Source organism: Homo sapiens, chromosome 2 (genome assembly GCF_000001405.40).
Source record: "Homo sapiens chromosome 2, GRCh38.p14 Primary Assembly".
In the NCBI taxonomy this organism is placed as follows: Eukaryota; Metazoa; Chordata; class Mammalia; order Primates; family Hominidae; genus Homo; species Homo sapiens.
Window position 1 is genome coordinate 239333606 of NC_000002.12, and position 20240 is coordinate 239353845.

A 20240-nucleotide genomic window follows, 5' to 3' on the forward strand; every position below is an offset into this window, starting at 1 on the left:
AGAAAATTCAACACAATAAAATAAAGAAAAAAAGCATAAGACTATTAACAGATGCAGAAAAAGTCTAATACATTAAGTTGAACCAAATGAAAATACCATTTTTTGTAGATGGAAAAAGATCAAATATCTGCAATTTCACATGACTCCATCTAATATTTTAACAGCTGCTTATCAGAAAAACTCAGCAAACTAAGAACAAAAGTAAACTGCATTCATCTCATGGACTACACAGAACTTATAGCAAATTTTATCTATAATGATGAAATACTAAAAATTTTTCTCTTGATATTAGAATAAGACATAGATGCCTACTACTACCAATGACTGATATAGATGCCTACTATTACCATTTGACTGAAGGTCCTAGGCAGTGCAGCAAAGCAAGAAAGACATAAAAGTTTTAAAAATTAGCAAAGAAGAAATGAAACATTCACCGTCCATAGACAATATGCATTAAAAACCCAAAAGAATATATAGATAATGAGTATAATAATAAACACTGTGCGAGGTATCTGGAGACACGACAAATATACAAAAATGAATTGTGCTTCTAAACATTACAAAAATAAAATTCCCCCAACAAAACAGCATAACCTAGAAGTAAATCTAACAAAAGAAATAAAAGACCTCTAGGCCAGGCACGGTGGCTCATGCTTGTAATCCCAGCACTTTGGGAGGCCGAGGAGGACGGATTGCTTGAGGTCAGGAGTTCGAGACCAGCCTGATCAACATGGTGACGCCCCGTCTCTACAAAAAATAGAAAAAATTAGCCAGGCATGGTGGCATGTGCCTGTAATCCCAGGTACTCAGGAGGCTAAGGCACGAGAACTGCTTGAGCCTGGGAGGCGGAGGTTGCAGTGAGTTGAGATTGTGCCACTGCGCTCCAGCCTGGGCAGCAGAGCAAGACTCCATCTCAAAACAAACAAATAAAAAAAAACTAAGACCTCTATACTGAAAATTACAAAATATGATCGAAAGAAATTACAGATGCTCGAAAAAAATAGAGAGACGTAGCATATTCGTAGATTAGAAGACTCCTAATAAACTGATTTCATATGCAAATCAGTGGATCCCAATTGAGACCACAGCAGGTATTCTGTTGAAATTGAAAAGCTGATTTTAAAATTCATATGGAGGCCGGGCGTGGTGGCTCATGCCTGTAATCCCAGCACTTTGGGAGGCCGAGGCAGGTGGATCACAAGGTCAGGAGATCAAGACCATCCTGGCTAACACGGTGAAACACCCCCCTCTACTAAAAAATACAAAAAAATTAGCTGGGCATGGTGGCGTGCACCTGTAGTCCCAGCTGCTGGGGAGGCTAAGGCAGGAGAATGGCGTGAACCTGGGAGGCGGAGCTTGCAGTGAGCCAAGATCGTGCCACTGCACTCCAGCCTGGAAGACAGAGCAAGACTCCATCTCAAAAAAAAAAAAAAAAAAAATCCATATGGAAATGCAAAGGGCTAAAAAGAACCAAAACAAGCTTTGAAAAGTTTTAAAAAGTTGGAAGACCTACATTATTAGATACTATGGTTAACTGCAAATCTATTAGTTAAGACAGTGTTGCACTGGTACACAGATATGCAAACAGACCAATGAACTAGAATAAAGTGCAAAAACAGATCCATTTATATAATTTATTTCACTTATGACAAAGTTGCATTGGATAGCAGAGAAGAAAGGATGACTCTTTTAAATAAATACTGTTAGGCCAACTGAATTTCCAAACGGAAAAGTAACTCTCAATCCCTACCTCACACATAAAAAAAAAAAAATTCCCAGTGGATCACAGATCTAAATGAGTGATAGAACAATGAAGTTTATCAAAAATAATATAGAATATCTTCAAATAGGCATAGATAAAACTATTAAATTGGACTATTAAAATTAAGAGCATCTGTTCAGCAAAAAAAAAAAAAAAAAAAAAACACCATTAAGAAAGGGAAAACGCAGCACACACATAGAAAATAGCAACAAACAACAAAAAGCTCATTCATAGCCAGTGTACAGAAATAGCTCCTACAACTCAGTAAGAAAAATAAAGACAAACCAATTTCTTAAATGAATAGAAACTTCTCCACCAAAGATGACATCTAGTTGGTCAATAAACGTATGAAAAGGTATTCAACATTTTTAGTAATCTGGGAAATACAAATGAAACTACAATAGTTAAAATGAAAAAGAATTACAGTACCATGTATTGGCAAGGACAGAGCAACATTCTATAGGTCAGAGTGTAAATTGGTACAATCAATTTGAAGAACTGTTTGGCACACATACACCTTATCAAAAGAATTGCATACTTATATGAACCAATTGAAATATACAAGAATGTTACAGTAGCATTATACATAATTCCAAACTGGAAACCACCAAAATGTCATCAGCAATTGAACCAATAAATAATTTGTGATATGTTCATACAATGAAATATTATATACCCATTAAATGAAGAAACTACTACTATAAGCCACAATATCAATAAATCTAACATATTGTCAAGTGAAATAATCCAGACAATAAGAATAAGTATTACGTGATTTATATGACGTTCAAAACCAGGAGAAACTCATGTTAGAAGCTAGAGAAGTGGTATCTAGAGGGTGTGAGAGTGAGGGTACAGTAACTGAGAGAGGACATATACGGGGCTTCTGGGTGTTGGGATGTCCCATTTCACAATCTGGGTAGCAGTTACAGGCATCTTCCTTTTGGGAGAGTTCATCAAGCTAAGCAGTCATGATTCTTGCACTTTCCTGGATGCCTGTGATACTTCAGTTAAAAAGTTCACTTAGACATTGGCGGTCTTCAAGGCTACATGTTTATAATAACAACAATGGAAAGGCTGAAAACAAACTCCCTGTCCACCAACAATGACTTGTTAAGTTACTCTACCACATCCATGCACAACCATAAAAAAAAGAGTCCCCAAAGGAAAAACTGTAAAAGCTAGGTGCTAAAGTAACTACAGTATACAGCCATTCATGAACAAACATTAAGCAAAAGAGAGTATCTATAAATGTACTTCATTTTGTGAACTCAAAATTCTTGACATATTTTATTAAAACTTGAGTAGACAGTAGAGAGAGCTGCCATATACCCTACCAATACCACCTGCACATTCCCCGCGATTATTAGCATCCTACCTTACTACGGTATGTTAGTCACAATTGGGAACCAATACTGACATTACTGTCATTAACTAAAATTCTAGAGTTTAGGATTTCCTGAAGTTTCCCACTAATGTCTTTTACTGTATTCCAAGATCCATCCAGGATCCCATCCAGGAATTCCACATCACACTTAGGTGTCGCATGTCCTGAGATCCCTCCTGGTGGTGACAGTTTCTCAAAGGATGCTTGTTTCTGATGACCTTGGCATATCGAGTGGGCCTGGCAAGAGTAGACTGTAGGAAGGGTGTCTACTGGAATTTGTCTGATGTTTTTCCCATGGTTGGACTGGGGCTATGGGTTACTGAGAGGAAGACCACGGGGGAAAGTGCCATTCTCATCATATGAATTGATTTTTAAACACATGGACTAGAATTAACACACACCCACTCCACTAAACTGGTTTTACTGAACAGCAGGTTGTCACACAAACGGCTCCAAGGGAGGGAGTGGAGGAAATGGCAAGGCTCGGAGACACTGCTGTCAGATGCACGTGAGACTCAGCTGTACTCACCGGCGAAATAAACGTTTTGGCTCCGGGAAGGCAGAAAACGTCCACTTTGAGAGAAACTCACACCCTGCATAAGCCACTAACCGGTGGGGACTCCCACGCCACACATCGCACCAATACAAGCTCCATTCACAGAAAACCCCACTGCAAGTCGGTTATCGCTGCAAACTTCCTCTCTCTAACAGGAAGAAATCAGGACTCACGGGAGTAAGCAAAATGAGGCCTAAATCCGGCAAGCGAGGAAATCAAACACTTCCATCTTAATCACATATTATAGCGATGAGCAACCGAGTCAGATGGCCGCTGCTGGGTTTGACATTTTGTGGCTCTTCCTTTCCTCTGAGCTCCCAACTTGCTTCCAAGAATGAGGATAAATTAACATCCACATATCTGACCAGAGCCAACTTCTGCTCCCAAACATACGGCGACGGGGGAGACAGGATGCACCCAAAGTGGCCCCTGGCTGTGCGTGACAAAGCTTTCCAGGAACAGAGCGAGCCAGGCAGGACAACCGGCTTCGGCTGAGATCTGCAGACTGGGCCCTGGCAGAATAAATGAGCGGACTGGACCCAGTCCAGGCTCGGGACAATTACAAATAGCAAGAGAACAAGAAATGCTGGCTTGTTTTTGTACACTGCTATCTCTTCGGGGGCAGAAAGACAAAGAAAAAGGGGAGAAAGAGGTGGATCTGGTCTGGAAATCCCAGGAAAGCCAGGCCATGCAGAAGGCATCCCCCAGCACACCGAAAGCCAGGGAATCTGCAGCCTTGAAGGTGAGGCTCAGCCCCGCCCACCAGCCAGGTGCAGAGGCTGCTCAGAGAGCACAGGCAGGTACTCCAGACAAGCACAGAGAGACAACTCCGCTCCCAGCTGGCTTGGTCTGTGCCACCAGCTGGACGTGTTTTATCTCAGTCCCAAAATGCACGGTTTCTAGACCTCCCGTGGCACCTCTCTCGCGACTCAAAGCCAGTGCAGTGAGTTCCTGGAGGCCCATGCAGCTTCCTATCCACCACGTCCCTCACCACCCTCTAATACAACTGGGGCAGCGGCAGCCTCTACTCGTTACCCTCTCCTCCCGCTTCCCTTCATTCCATCAGTGCCCCAAAATCCCTATTACAGGAGGCCTTGTCTGACCCCTGCAGCAGCCCAGTTATCCCTGAGATTCTCACACCGACCTTCGTCCAACCCCCTAGTGCAAACATCAAATGACACCTATTAAAATTGACACACTAAAAGAACGGCTGCATCTGAGCTCAAAGTTTATTCACACTGAGCTTTTAAAATCCAAAACTACCATTTGATGTTCAAAATTTAAATAGCCACTACATAAAATAGGAAAAAATAAATTCCTTTTATTTTTCTAAGGGAGTTCTCCAAATCCTCAGCAGCTGCTATGAGATTCCCGTGGATTTTTAGGTACAAAGTTCAGACTGAGAGGACCACAGTATTCAATGAGATTCTGAGCTCAGTCCATCCAGAAGATTCCATAAGCATCCAAGGCAGAAGTGAGATTCAGCCACCAACCACATTTCAAAAGCCACTGGTGGAGGATTCCAGAGCAGGTGTCATCCAGGGCTCAGGGCCTCCAGGCTCCCCCCAAGGCTGAGATTCTACCAAAAGCGTAGGTTCGGTTCCCCAGTGGCTGAGTTTTGTTTCCGGAGAGCATGTGTGTTAAACTGACTTGAAAGGTATCCAAAGAAACTGTGAAGGCAGAGGTCATCTGTATTTAAGAAAACTATGTATTTAGTTTACATAAAATCAGAAAATACAGAATCTGGCTTTGAAGAAAACAATGGTAAAGATGTTATATTGACAAGTAATTTTAACCAATGTCTCTGAATGAATATACCAACTCAGATACATCAGCCACCTGCTGTTCCTATCCAGGTGAAGGCCGGCTGCCCTGCCCTCCCCTTCTGTCATAAGAGGGTCTGGGGTTGCCTGTAAACACAGGGCTGCCCCACTGCTCACTGTCCCAGTGAAGTCCTTTGCTCTGCCAGTTTCCATCAGCTGCAGGGCCAGGTGCCGACAGAAGGCAAAAGTCAAAGCCCAGTATCTTTCTAAAGAAACAGGGCCCGATGAAAGGAAGCAACCTCAGCCCCAGGAGGCAATGGGCCCAGTCCAGGTCACCCCGGACACAGAGCCACCCCTGGGCAGTGATCTCCCAGCTCCTGCCCCTGTCCATTCCCCAGGTGAAGCCTAAATGCTCTGATCTGGACATGGGTGAGGAGCACCAAAGCCATGCTCTCTCGGGTGATGTGAGCAACTCAACGGAGACCTACGTTGTTCTTTTGTTCATGAAGATAGTACTGAAGTTTGAAATAACATCCCTCAGCAGAGCTCCAGAGCAGAATCTTCCCAGAGAACCACACATGTGGCCCGCGGCCCCCTGCAATCTCCTGGCTAAGGCATTAAAAACACCATCTCCTTAGAAAATGCAGTCCTTGAGGCCACACCCATGCAAATCAGTCCACCAAATCCACTCATAACAGCATCCAGGTAACTTCCAAAGAAATGGAAACACTGATAAACACAAGAAACACCCTCCCCACATGTGATTCTCATGCATCAGGTCCTGCAGACCACAGAGAGTTCAAGGAAACCGCAGCCAAGAACCAAGAAAGCCACATCCATGCTCAGGCCAGGGCCACCGGCCTTTGTGACTGCTTCCCTCAGCAGAAGTGCTAGCAGCTGAGTAGGGAGACATCAAGACATCATGACAGAAAGAGGCTGGGGGCCTGAACACAAAGCAAGAAGAGTGGGATGTGTCCCCACCCCAGATACCCTCCTAGTTTCTAACACATTCAGGCCAGGATGGTCCCTGCAGCAGTTGGGGCATGGGGTCCTGCTGGTGCTGCTGCTCCCTCACCCCAGGACACCCCAGCTCTTCCCTGAGCCTCAGCTACACCAAGCCAGTCACAGGGCAGTGAGCTCAGCTGTTCACAGTAGGCTGTGCAAGCATGGACACAGCCCCACCCGTCTTCCTGAACCATCGAGAAATTACGTCTTACCAAATCCTACTGAGGACTGGCGAAGAACAAAAGGGAACCAAATCACAGATAGATGTGAAGGCAGATAGACAATTCAACTGTTCTCAGAAGCTACAGAGGGGCCCCAGTGGGGGCAGCCCCACTGAGCTCCAGTCTGCCACCCAAATGCCTGTTGGTGCATCTCCTAAAGGCTGGGCTGCATGGGACAGAGGAGGACCATGGTGGGGTGTCAGCACTTCCAGGCTGGGTACTCCATCGGTGCTGCTGCTTAGAGATGCCTCTGTACCCTTCCAGCTGTCAGATGGCCTCTGCACCTTATCATTCTGTTACAACAGCCTGGACATGGAGACACACACCATCTCTCAAAAACAGCCTTTGGGGATGCTCACGTGTATGTTTGTGTTCAGAAAAGAACCACCTGCCTTGAATGAAGCATCTGCTTCAAAGCCACAGGGCTCCCCGTGCTGAGGGCCACACTGAGAGGACATCTGTGCCCTGCAGTCCTCGGCCCAAGTCCACCCCTCCAGGCCAGGCACCCTGGCCCCATCCTGATGCTGCAAGACCAAGGATGAGAAGCCCACCAGAGATAAAGGGCACTGAAGATCTGGCCCCCTCTTCAGCAGTCACACCCTAGTCCCTGTCACTCAGAAAACTGGGCTCACTGCAGCACCCACTAAACATCTCTAAGGGGATCCTAACCTCCCATCTCCACCATCATCAGAGCCACCATTACCATCAAGGACTCGGCTTTCAACACGTACAATGCATCGGGCACTACAAAAACTAAAACTCCTCATCTCTCTGGTTTACCAACGAAAACCTCTGCTTTCCATGTCTCCAGTTTCCCCTAGGGCCTCCTCAAATGTTCTAGAACTCTTTTTATCCACTAGTACATCAGAAAGAAAAAATTAACCTTGCCTTCCTCCCTCCCCGATCCTTTCACAAAAACAAGGCAGTGCTATGGAAGCACATGAGAGAGACGTGGGGCGAAGGCCGCCTTTGCTCCCGCACAGCCACATTGAGACTGCAGGTGTTCAGGCAAAGACAGGGCCAGGCAGCACCTCGGTGAGCCTGCAGCAGGAAGGTTTGTGTTGTGCAGTGTCAGACCGGGATGAGGAGACAGGGCTGGAAGAATCAGCCCCACCTGATTTGGATTCAGTCCATGTGAAAACAAAGAGTGTCAAGAATTCTGCATCACACTACCTAACAGGGAGGGAGGAACTTCCCCTCAATACGGCCTTACCCTAGATGTGAAGAGGTGAGAAAGGCTTTCAGGACAACACATGGAAACCCTGAGTGTGCTCAGAACAGACTCCACATCCTTGCCTGAAACTCCAACAGCATTTCACAAACCCTACTGAATCAACAAGTCACTGAGAAACACAGTGTTAATAAGCATCCAATTTCTACATATTTCCTAGGAAAACTCATAGGTATTTAAAAAGGAATACCTTTGGCTATGAATGCAAACTAATTGAAAGAAAACCATTAGCTCTTATAATGAAAGGTATTCTCTTGGCTTTAGCAGCTGCTGTGGTCTGAATGTTGGCGTCCCCCCCAAAATTCACGTGTTAAAATCTAATACCCAATGTGACAGTATTAAGAAGTGGGGCCTCTGGAGAGTGATTAAGTTATGGACTCTCAGGAACAGGATTAGTGCCCTTATTATAGAGGTTCAAGTGAGACCCCTCACCCCTTCCAACAGGTGAGGACACAGCAAGAAGGCACCATCTGTGAAGCAGAGAGCAGCCCTCACCAGACACCAAGTCCGCTGGCACCTTGATCTTGGACTTCCCAGCCCCCAGAACTGTGAGCAAGAAATTTCTATTATTTACATATCATCCACCCTAAGGTATTTTATGATAGCAGGCTGAACGAACAAAGGCATCACCTAAACAACCACATTATGGAAGCAATCTTCTAAGAAAATGGTCTAAGCATTTTAAAATTTAAAATTAAAAAAAAAAAACTGGCTCCAATCACAAAACTTCTTTTAGGGAAAGGCTCTGAAGACAGTGGCTTCATAATAACAAATTCTGACATCTCAAGTGAATACAAACTCAAAGAGCTAATTTGAACCTTTGAGAATGTAGTTGTATACAGAAAAGAAAAAACTCCCCCAGTTAATGACCATCACTAAATAATGAACACTAAGACACACAGACCAACTTGTCCTAATTCTTTATAAATGCTATTTCAAATGGAACAAAAATAAGTACATTTAGGTCATTTCTGTATTTTGAAAAAAACAAATACGTTACAATAAGTTTTACTACTCCTTTTGAAAGTACAGAGTCTTGGTGAAAGCTAGGAAATGACAGTCATCCTGAACACTGTGTTTCAAGGTAATATCCCAACAGCTCTACAGCTGCCCGTCAGCATGGAACCACACTGGGTCCTGAGTCCGTGTTGTAGCACTGAAGGAAAGGCAGCAAGGGGACACTGGGCAGAGATGGAGGAGAGTACAGTGAGGGCTGAGGGAGATGAGGGAGCCTGGGGTCCAGTGAGAACAAAGCCACCATAAGCCAGCCGGGCTCAGGATCCTCACAGACAACCAAGAGCCCGCAGGCCCAGCGTCGTCTTGGAGGGAAACAGCCGCCTACACTGTCAAGGGGGCTCCCAAAGGCCTGGCTATGGGCTTCGGTCTCCAAATCAGCTGTGCCTAGCTCCCTGAGAGGCAGAATTTATCTTTTCTATTTGTATTTGTTTTCCTAAAAAGGGGGAAGGAGAGAGAAGCAAACATGAAAATAACGCCCCAAGGCCTCCATCCCCACCAATGCGTATCACTCCTGAAGGGCCAGCACTCCCAGTGTCTTACTGATTAGGTGGCTGAAAGCAAACCAGTTTAAAAGCTCAGGGCCAGATATAATTCAAAAAAGTTTAGGTATATGCCTCAGTTGATTTTTGTCTTAATTTTAATTTCTTAAAATTAACTGTAATTTTCATTATAATTTTCCCCAAAGTGCCCATTTTTTGCCATGTTCTCATGAAATAAACAAAGAGAAGGATGCTAAGTGGCCACAACGTGAAAGTTTCAGCCCAAATCTCAGAGTTCGCTTGGTTATGCCAATCACCCAGTCACTCCTTCAGTCCCAACATTCTAAGGACCGGCAAAGAGAGCTCAGAGAAAGTTCACAAAAAGACAGAGGAAGGACAGATGAAGTTCCCTGATGGCAAAACCCATGCTCGTTGAAACCAACTGGGACACAAAAAAGCCTACGTTGCAGGACAGGGCCCCAGCCGGCGGGGCAGGACCTGCGGGAGGCCCACCAACCCTCCTCACAAGGCTGTTTCAGCCTCAGGTCCTTTCTAGGGGACAGCCTCCCTTGGCCTCCACATCCCTCAGGGGGCTTCCATGCCCAGCCCATCCCTCTCGTGGCATGAACCACACTGGACCAGAGTGCCTGCTGCCCTGCCTGCCCTGCCTGCCCTGGCCAGGGAGCTCACACAAGCAGACAGGCTCAATGCCTCTCAGGTCCCAGGTGCCCAGTGTTCTGCCGCAGAGAGGCGCACACTCCTTGAGGGAAGGTGACCGATTCTAGCGGTGCCAGATTGGCCTCTGATGCGCTGCCCAGCCTCAGCCTACCTAAGCACTCGATAGCAGTAACACTGGTTTCCTCATCTACAAAACAGAAATAACGTGTCCAGCTCACGTCACAGGCTATATGCAAGCACAAATGGAGTAGCAGCAAGCAAAACTCAGAACAAACCTGCTGTTCATTTCGTTCTCTTAAACGCGCAGTGGGGTTGACTGAGCAAGCAAGTCATCAAGGCTGATGTATTATTATGATGAGTTTTGAACACCTATGGTCAAGTAGAGCCAGACCTTTGATGGCAGTAGCTCCCGCCTCACACAGCCTGGCACCCGGAGGCAGCCACGCACCTGCACACCTGTCCACGTGCGACCTGCCCCCACTGCCGGGTGCCTCAATCACAGCCTTTCTGTTCCCCGCCAAGCTGTGCTCAATGGTTTCTAATGATTCTCACACCGCGTTTTCTATGTCAAATACATACCGGGAGTTCATTCTTAAATTTCAATATCATTAATCATCCAACATTCAGCATCTCAGAACTCAGAAATTTGCATTTCTACAATAGTGGCTTTGAAAAAGGGACACAAATGCAAATGTTCCACAAACTGTGTAAGAATTTTCAGAGAATTGCCAAAACAAACCATCAATGCTCCATTGACAGCGAATTTTCTGAGCTCTTCATAATGACTGAGTACTCGTGATTTTTAAAAGACAAAACACAATTTGAGGATCAAAAAAAAAAGTAGGTTGAAAAATAAGTCCTTATGTCTACATGATTTCCAGAACAAACCTTGACTGATTAAGATCCCAGATAATGATGGCATGGAGAATCCAGGCTAGTGACAATCTGAGAGCTGCAGACGCCCCGTGCCGGGTGGCTGGGAGGATGCACATTCAGACAGGCGGTGCTGTGCGTCAGAAAACGTACACAAGTATTTTTGAAACCTTGCCTTTAGAAAGCGGAAGCAAGCAGTACATGGGGATCAAAAGCATCTCCCACCCCAACATCAGCCGGAACTATCCAGGCATTTCTGTTGTCCTTCTCTAAAACCTCCAGTTGATGTAGGGCTGGTCTACTCTCCCACGTTCTCGGGGTTCAATCTCACTCCCTCCTATCCAGAACCCCCAGGGCTGCCCACCGCAGGGGCCATGAACAAGCTCTTCTCCAGCTGGCACCAAGCATGCTCTCAGGCCCTGCCACCTTGTCCAAGCTCCCCTGGACTCCTGCCAGCTGGCTGCACCTGCTGCCTACACACCCCCTCCTCCTGGGAGCCCTCTTGGGCCTCCTGCAAAGCCACTCTCAGCTCCCAGGCTTTCTCATTACCTCCCGCCACCTTGTTTCTGAGCAAGGGCCATGCTCAGAATCTGCAACCCACCTGTCACCAGAAGCTCAGAATCAAGGTCTTGGGTTAATTGCAGGTCTTCAAAATTCCTTTTCTGCCCCTTAAAACTTTGTAGTACTCCTGGCCGGATACAATGGCTCATACCTGTAATCCAGGACTTTGGGAGGCCGAGGGGGCAGGATTGCTTGAGTCCAGGAGTTGGAGACCAGCCTGGACAACATGGTGAGATTCGGTCTCCACAAAAAATTTTAAAAATTAGCTGGGCGTGGTGGCATGCAGAGGTGCATGCCAGAGGTGGTCCCAGCTACTCGGGAGCCTGAGGTGGGAGGATCGCTGAAGCCCAGGAAGCTGAGGCTGAGGTGCATACCACCACACTCCAGCCTGGGCGACAGCAAGACCCTGTCTAACACACACACACACACCCAACACACACACACGGACACCCTAACACACACATACACACACCCTAACACACACCCTGTGTAAAACAACACTCTCAACCCTGTCTAAAAAACACACACTCCCTAAAACACACACACCCATCTCACACACATGCACTCACCCTAACACACACACCCTAACACACATACACACCGTCTAAAACACACACACCCCCGTCTCACACACATGCACTCAAACACACATACACACCCTAACACACATACACATCGTCTAAAATACACACCCCCGTCTCACACACATGCACTCAAACACACACACCCTAACACACATACACACCGTCTAAAACACACACACACCCCCATCTCACACACGTGCACTCACTCTAACAAACACACACATCCTAACACACATACACACCGTCTGAAACACATATACCACCGTCTCACACACTTGCACTCACTCTCACACACACATCCTAACACACATACACACCGTCTGAAACACACACACCCCCATCTCACACATGCACTCACCCAACACACACACACCCTAACACACATACACACCGTCTGAAACACACACACCCCCATCTCACACATGCACTCACCCAACACACACTGTCTAAAACACACACACCCTGTCTAAAACACACATACATACCTTAACACACACATATCCTGTCTAAAACACACACCCATACTTTAATACACAGACACCCACACCCTAACACACATACCACACCCTAAAACACAAACACACCCTAACACACACGCATACAGACCATACACACCCGTCTAAAACACACATACACACATCTTAACACACATCCTGTCTAGAACACACACCCATACTTTTAACACATAGTCTAGGACACACACACCCTGTTTAAAACACACATACATACCTTAACACACATCCTGTCCAAAACACACACCCATACTTTAACACACAGTCTAAGACACACACACCCTAACACATACCACACCCTAAAACACACAAACACACCTTCACACACACACACACACACACAGACCATAACACACACACCTGTCTAAAACACACATACACACCTTAACACACACACACTCTGTCTAAAACACACACCCATATCTTAATACAGTCTAAAACACACACACTGTCTAAAACACACACCCTAACACACACATACCCTAACACACACGCTCTAAAACACACCCTGACACACACACCCTGTCTAAACACACACCCTAACACATACACCGTCTCACACACACACACCCTGTCTAAAACACACACACACCACCTAACACACACACCCTGTCTCACACACACCCTATCTAAAACACACACACCCTAACACACACACCCTGTCTCTCACACACACACCCTGTCTAAAACACACACACACCCTAACACATACACATTGTGTCTAAAACACACACACGCACCCTAACACACACACCCTGTCTAAAACACACACCCCATCACACGCACACACCCTAACACACATACACCCTGATTCACACACATACAACCTGTCTAAAACACACACCCTAACACACACTCTAACACACACATACACACAGACACTTTGTGGTATTCCTGAGACATTCAACCACTGCAGAGCATTATTTAAATGCCATAAAAATGCATCTTTATGGATCATTTCTATATTAAAATATAATAATCTTGGCGGCCACAATAGTTAAAATAAACAGATTCAAGATCAAATAAAGTTAGAGCAGAACATGAGGACTGGAAGCAATCCCAGAGGAGAGCCTTCTCCCTGGACTCACAGGGTTAACACTCAACAGTGGTCTGAAGCAACTGTATTACCATGAACTCACTCATCACCAAGTCATTGTGGACAGAGACTTTTTAGCTGCTTTTATGTGGATGGGGGTAGCTCAGACTGAACAGAATATTAAGAAATCATAGAATGGCCCAAATGAACACACTGATCTTAAGTTACACACGTTTCCCACAAAATCCTTTTTTTTTGTTTTGAGACAACAGTCTTGCTCTGTCGGCCAGGCTACAGTGCAGTGGCACCATCTCGGCTCACTGCAACCTCACCTCCCGGATTCAAGCGATTCTCCTGCCTCAGCCTCCCGAGTAGCTGGGACTACAGGCGCGTGCCACCACGCCTGGCTAATTTTTGTGTTTTTAGTAGAGACGGGGTTTGACCATGCTGACCAGGCTGATCGCGAACTCCTGACCTCAAATGATCTGCCCACCTCGGCCTCTCAAAGCACGAGGATTACAGGTTTGAGCCACCGCACCCGGCCACTTATTTTGTTTTGAACTAAACATTATCCGTACCTCGCACCAAGATTCCAGGAGCGAGAGGATGCTCAAGTTACCGACCACTGCCTGCTCAACCAGCTTCCTATCGAGAGCATCATCCCGGTGACCATAGACACGTCCCAGCAAATCCACGTCCCAGCAAATGCACTGCTTCCTATCGAGAGCATCATCCCGGTGACCACAGACACGTCCCAGCAAATCCACTGCTTCCTATCGAGAGCATCATCCCGGTGACCACAGACACGTCCCAGCAAATCCACTGCTTCCTATCGAGAGCATCATCCCGGTGACCACAGACACGTCCCAGCAAATCCACGTCCCAGCAAATGCACTGCTTCCTATCGAGAGCACCATCCCGCTGACCACAGACACGTCCCAGCAAATCCACGTCCCAGCAAATGCACTGCTTCCTATCGAGAGCACCATCCCGCTGACCACAGACACGTCCCAGCAAATCCACGTCCCAGCAAATCCACTGCGGGGCTCCTTGACACTGAGAACTTTTCTGGGCAAGACTTTCTCTAGGCACGAACATTCCGGAAGGGAAAGTAAATGACACTGGAGGGACGGGGTAGTGTTAAGTGGGTGGCCAAGTAACAACGTCTGCCTTTCCTGCTGGCCAGTCAAGTCACCAGTATCCTAAGCCCTTAACCACAAGGAAAGACAAGGACAGTTACTTGGAGAACTGTCCTTGGAGGAAAACAAGGGAATGGGAGAAAAAAAAGGAGGCGTAGCTTGTCCTGCCAGCAGGCCCCCGTGGGCTTTCCGTCCACACTCCCGGTTTCATGCCAGGGACTCTGGCTTCAAGGCAGAGGCTCTGTGTCCTGACAAACGCATCCTGCCCTGCCACAGCGCATCCCCTCAGGGAGGGTGTGGAGGGCTGGCCGGGCAAGGGGCGTAAGGCTCCAGGGCCTCCTTTCAAAGGAGAGCCCTTCCAGGCTAAGTCAATCCAGGTTCTTCCCTCAGGCCGCTCACATCATTAGAAATCGTTCTTTAGAGCAATAAAATCCCAACAGTTAAGCAGCTTTGACGTCAGAGAACCAGGGCCTGGCTCTGGCAAAGTTCAGCGGGAACAGCAATAAAACCGTAACACAAAACTCACCCAGCAGCAGAGGACTTTCACAGAACACAGGAGAGGAAAGCCACACACACTGCACTAGAAGGGCACTTCATCAGCAGGGCAAAGCCAAGTCACATGACAAATGTGAGAGGGGGCCCATGGGCGGCTGGACTCCCCCAGCCCGGCCTGCCCAGGGAGTGAGGGCGGCACGGGCACCCACACCAGGCCACACAGGAGCAGGGCCCCCATGCCAGATGGGCAGGCAAGGGTGAGCCAGGCAGGCAAGAGTGAGCCGGGTGGGCAGGGCGAAGGACAGGGCCAGCTAGCAGAGGACGGCACGAGAGACACACGGAGGGAGGGGAGGTGCAGCCAGGTAGGCCCCGAACACCACGTTGCCAGGACTCGGCTCCTCGGCTCAAGGAAAAGGGACAGCGGTTCCGTGGCTGTGCTCTGACACACCTAGAAATTTCCCGCTCAAGAGAGCAAACTGAATCCTTTAGTATTAATGATTTCTCTTCCTCCCAAAACCCACTAAAATGATGAAAAGCAGGATTGGAAAGCACTTCCAGCAATGCCTGGGAGCGGACGGACAGGTGCATCAGCTGACAAGAAACACAGAGGAACTTCCCGAAACTAGAGATCTCTGGGGATGGAGCTGCTTGGGAAGGCACACAAGCGAGTGGGCCTCGCCCAGGAGGGAGGGCACGGTTCTGGGCAAGCCCCATCCCCCGCCTGAGACGTGGGCAGAGGCCGCTGGGCCACCAGCCAGTGTGTGCAGGTGGTGGTATGCACGTGTTGGGCACAAGGGGTCCTGCCTCCCAAGGGACCTCCGGGCGGAAGGGCAGACACGGCAGGGAAAGATGACAGCGGACAGGGCAGAGGAGGCAGCCAGCAGACTTCAGGCCCCAGGCAAACCACCTCAGCTGTACCCCCTGCACAGATGGAGAGCAGAGAATGGGCTGGGCCAAGGGGCAGCCCTGCCCTCACCAGTGCGGCCTGTCTTCAGCCTCCAACCCACTGAGAGAGAGAATGGAGAGGTCGTGGGTGGCAATAAGGCGCACACAACCCAACTCACATGGGCAGGACAGGCCCGGGCAGGCCGGTGATCAAACTGAACCGCAGCGGCTGAAATTCCCACAGAAAAGGCCAAACAAACCCAGCACCCCGCGGTTTCCAGAGCTGAGCCTCAAAGAACCCGGCCTGAAAAGGTTAGAGACAAGCGGATGGAGAAATATTTGTTAGCCAAAAGAAACCAAGGGTAGAAATACCTCATGAAACACTATAAGCTCTCGGTCAAAGAAACATTAAACAAAGAGAAATATATTATATTTTGATAAGAGACCTGATCTACCAAAAGAACAGTCATTAATTTTTAAGCTTTAAAAAAAAACACTGAACTATATAAAGCAAAAAATGGTTATTAATGTAAAAAGAATATTATAAGACTATAATCACAGTAGAAAAATACACTTTTCCAAGAAATCGAGCAGACAGAAAAAAATAAGTAAAGCTATACTGATTTAAATAACTCAACTGAGTTAATATATAATTAAAACAACATATAAAGAAAGGATACATATCCTCCTATATATAAATAAAATATATATAAATGAGAGAACTTTTTTTTTTGAGACGGAGTCTTGCTCTGTCGCCAGGCTGAAGTACAGTGGCGCAATCTCAGCTCACTGCAACCTCTGCCTCCCAGGTTCAAGCGATTATCCTGCCTGAGCCTCCTGGGTAGCTGGGACTACAGGCACACGCCACCACGCCCAGCTAATTTTTGTATTTTTAGTAGAGATGGGGTTTCACTATGTTGGTCAGAATGGTCTCAATCTCTTGACCTTGTGATCTGCCCACCCTGACCTTCCGAAGTGCTGGGATTACAGCTGTGGGCCTCTGCGCCCGGCCGAGAACTTTAAATACAATATTGATACATACATACAGACGTCTTTAGACTGAAACAAAATCCTAAGAGCATACTTTCTCTTCAAATGCCTGCAGAGCATGTACAAATTATGATTATGTGTACACCAAGTCATACAAAAATATGCACCCCCATTAAAATAATCAAGTGTACTCAAACAATAATTTTCCCATAGCACACTGACAAAAATGAGAGAGACTGAACCTACCCAGTGCTGGTACAGCACAAATGAAAAATATGCATCCTCTTACACTGGAATTAGGAAGATCAGTTGGAACGAGGCTTCTGGAGCAATTTGACAGTCAACCTAATGATGTTTTAAGTGCACGGGCTCACTGACCCAGCTTCCACTTCCTGGAATTTGTCTAGTAGTGATACTTAGAAGTTTACAAAATATATGTATAATAATTGTTTGATGCCAATTTGGAATTGGTATAAACACTGCTACAACCACATAAATATCCATTCGCAAGGTATCAAAAGAGCAAGTTATATTTGCACACATACTGATACCAAAAGATGCTTATAACACATTAAAATGGACAGAATGTAAAACACAGGGCCCTGCCTATAGAATTATACTCTATGAAAATGCTCACACACATCACACTATGTTTAGACACAGAAAAAAGATACACTCTCACCCAACAGCAGCCCAGTGTAGGAGGGAGAGAGCCAGCTCCATTCAATGTCTATTTAGACACTTTGAGCCATAGCGCTTAATTTTGTCTTGGAATGATCATAAACCATTTCTTTACATCAGTCAATACATAAACAATTTAACTCAATAAAACTTTCATATCTAAAAAAACCTGGAATCTTGCCCTCTGGAATTTTCAGACAAAGACGATTCCACCCAGGGAAAGATGTGTGTAAGCGTTCCGGCAATCTCAAAGAGAGTGACCCAGACAGACCCTGAGCCTCTCTGCCTCTGCTCTAAGGAGCAGGACCCAGAGCCAAGGCTAACAGAGCCTCAGGTGCCTGTCCAAGCGTCTGTCCAGTGGCCACCGTCTTCTCTCTCATGTGGACGCAAGACAGAAGTCGATGGCTAAGTGCCCTTGAAGGCCACGGTGCGCTGGAAGTGGCAGGAAGCTGGGCAGCACAGGACTGGCTCTGCAGGAGCCCCACACTCAGGCAGGTCGGCGGCAGGCCTCGAGGTTTCATTATGGTGCACGCTCTCGGTGACTTTCCAAGGACAGAAAGTGTGAAGTCGTAAATGGATGGGCCCATGACATGCTTCTGAAGCTCAGAGCAGGACAAGCTTGCTTCCCAATCATGTGGGTCCCCCACCTACCAGCTCTGTGACCTCAGGCAAATTACTTCTTCCCTCCAGGCCTGAGATGATCTGGGGCTGTACTAAATGCTTGTAAAATGCTTAGTGCAGCCCCTCACAGAGGCCCTCAAACACCAGGAGCAACTGTGGCCACGACCTCAGTGGGAACATGAGCTTCTTCCCAGACAGCCCAGACGCCCAGTTGGAGGAGCACTCCCACCCCTCACACAACCCCTCATGAAACAACAAAGACACTGGGCAAGAAACCAGCTCTCCACATCACAACCTGACCTTTCAACATCACCCTTGTCAAAAAGCATCGAGGAAACCTGTGTGCCTCTCAAGTCAGCCTGCAAACCGGGGTCGCAGACTTGACTCCACATCCTCCCAGGTTTTATCATTCTTCTTTCACCAAGAGGAAGAATAAACCATCCATTTTGCACTTTGTGCTGTCAAAAACCAACAGTGACCACTATCAAGAAAAACAAAAGTCTCAAATCCAGAAAGCAAGCTGCAGTCACAAGAACTTCTACTTTGGGCAAAGAAAGCCCCGCTGTGTGCCCAGAGAAGAAATGACCCGGCCTTACCTGGATGGCTTTGGGAGCTCATTGCTAGCAATGTCCACTCCTTTAAGTGATTCGAAATGGCTCAAAATTTCCACGGAAACGATAGCTCCAACGAGCTCCAAACTCCCACCAACACATACAAGTACCGGGACGGTGAGGGCTGGGTCACAGACGTTCAAGCGCCGAGCCTCGCCGGCAAGGTCTCATGAGCCAGGTAACCCACAAGTTGAACAGAGGCGTCCGCTGGCTTCTGCAGATGAACCTGCAAGGTCAGAAGGAGAAAAGAGACTGGAGTTACAACATGGAAGTTCCGATCTGGAAAACAACATCCAACTAGGGAAATGATGACTTCCTCTTTTTTTTTGGAGACAGAATCTTGCTCTATCGCCCAGGCTGGAGTGTGGTGGCACGATCTGGGCTCACTGCAACCTCCACCACCCCTGCAACCCTGGGTTCGAGCAATTCTCCTGCCTCAGCCTCCCGAGTAGCTGGGAACACAGGTGCATGCCACCAGGCACAGCTAATTTTTGTATTTTTAGTAGAAACGGGGTTTTGCCATGTTGGCCCAGGCTGGTCTCAAACTCCTGACCTCAAGTGATCCACCCACCTCAGCCTCCCAAAGTGCTGGGATTACAGGCTTGAGCCACCACGCCCCACCAACTTCCTTCTTTATCCTTGTTCTGACCAAGGACTGATAGAACAGTTCGACGGAATCATTTCTACAAATACGAGCAGTGGGATTTTTGTTAGTAAATCACAGACATGTAAAAATGTCTCCAGAGAGCAGGGTTTCTCAGCCTCAGTACCACTGGGATTTTGGTTTGCGTATTTAGGTGTTGGGGTGTAGGGCTGCCATACACATTATAAGATATTTAGCAGGATCCTGGGCCTCCACACACCAGATGCCAGCAGCATCTTCCAGGTCATGACAACCAAGAATGTCTCCAGGGAGTGCCAAAGGTCCTCTGGGGGATAATATCATCCCCTGGTTCAAAATATCTGATCTAGAGACACCTTCCTTACCCCTTCCAGAAGTTTCTCCAACATTAGGCTTTTGAAAGGAAGCAGAGTATCTTCCAACTAATATAAATTTATTCTGTCATATTAGCTTATGAAATAAATATGAAATAAAATGTTTTAAAAGAAAAATCACTTTCAGCACATTCCCACCACAAAATGTCATTACTGC

The 20240-nt window shown here is 46.9% G+C and overlaps 1 protein-coding gene and 1 non-coding gene across 27 annotated transcripts in view, besides 1 other annotated feature; both read right to left on the reverse strand.

The window, feature by feature from the left end:
* The window catches only part of HDAC4 (histone deacetylase 4), a 353482-nt gene that overhangs the window by 285438 nt on the left and 47804 nt on the right, over positions 1-20240 (reverse strand). For all 26 annotated transcript variants that reach the window (NR_198957.1, NR_198958.1, NR_026664.2 and 23 more), the window contains exon 2: positions 19073-19313. Coding sequence is in view for 23 of the 26 variants with exons in the window: in XM_047446489.1 (XP_047302445.1) it covers positions 19073-19094 (22 nt within the window). In the remaining 3 variants the exon portion in view is untranslated. The remainder of the gene's footprint in view (positions 1-19072; positions 19314-20240) is intronic.
* On the reverse strand, positions 18119-18199 carry MIR2467 (microRNA 2467). The gene has a single exon (NR_039948.1). It is a non-coding gene; the product is annotated as a microRNA 2467 (primary transcript).
* Positions 18862-19055: a silencer, noted in NCBI's record as "fragment chr2:240274162-240274355 (GRCh37/hg19 assembly coordinates)". NCBI's record gives its function as "represses an EF-1alpha promoter that drives an FKBP-Casp9 reporter gene in an ReSE screen in K562 erythroleukemia cells {active_cell/tissue: K562}" and the evidence as "EXISTENCE:reporter gene assay evidence [ECO:0000049][PMID:32094911]".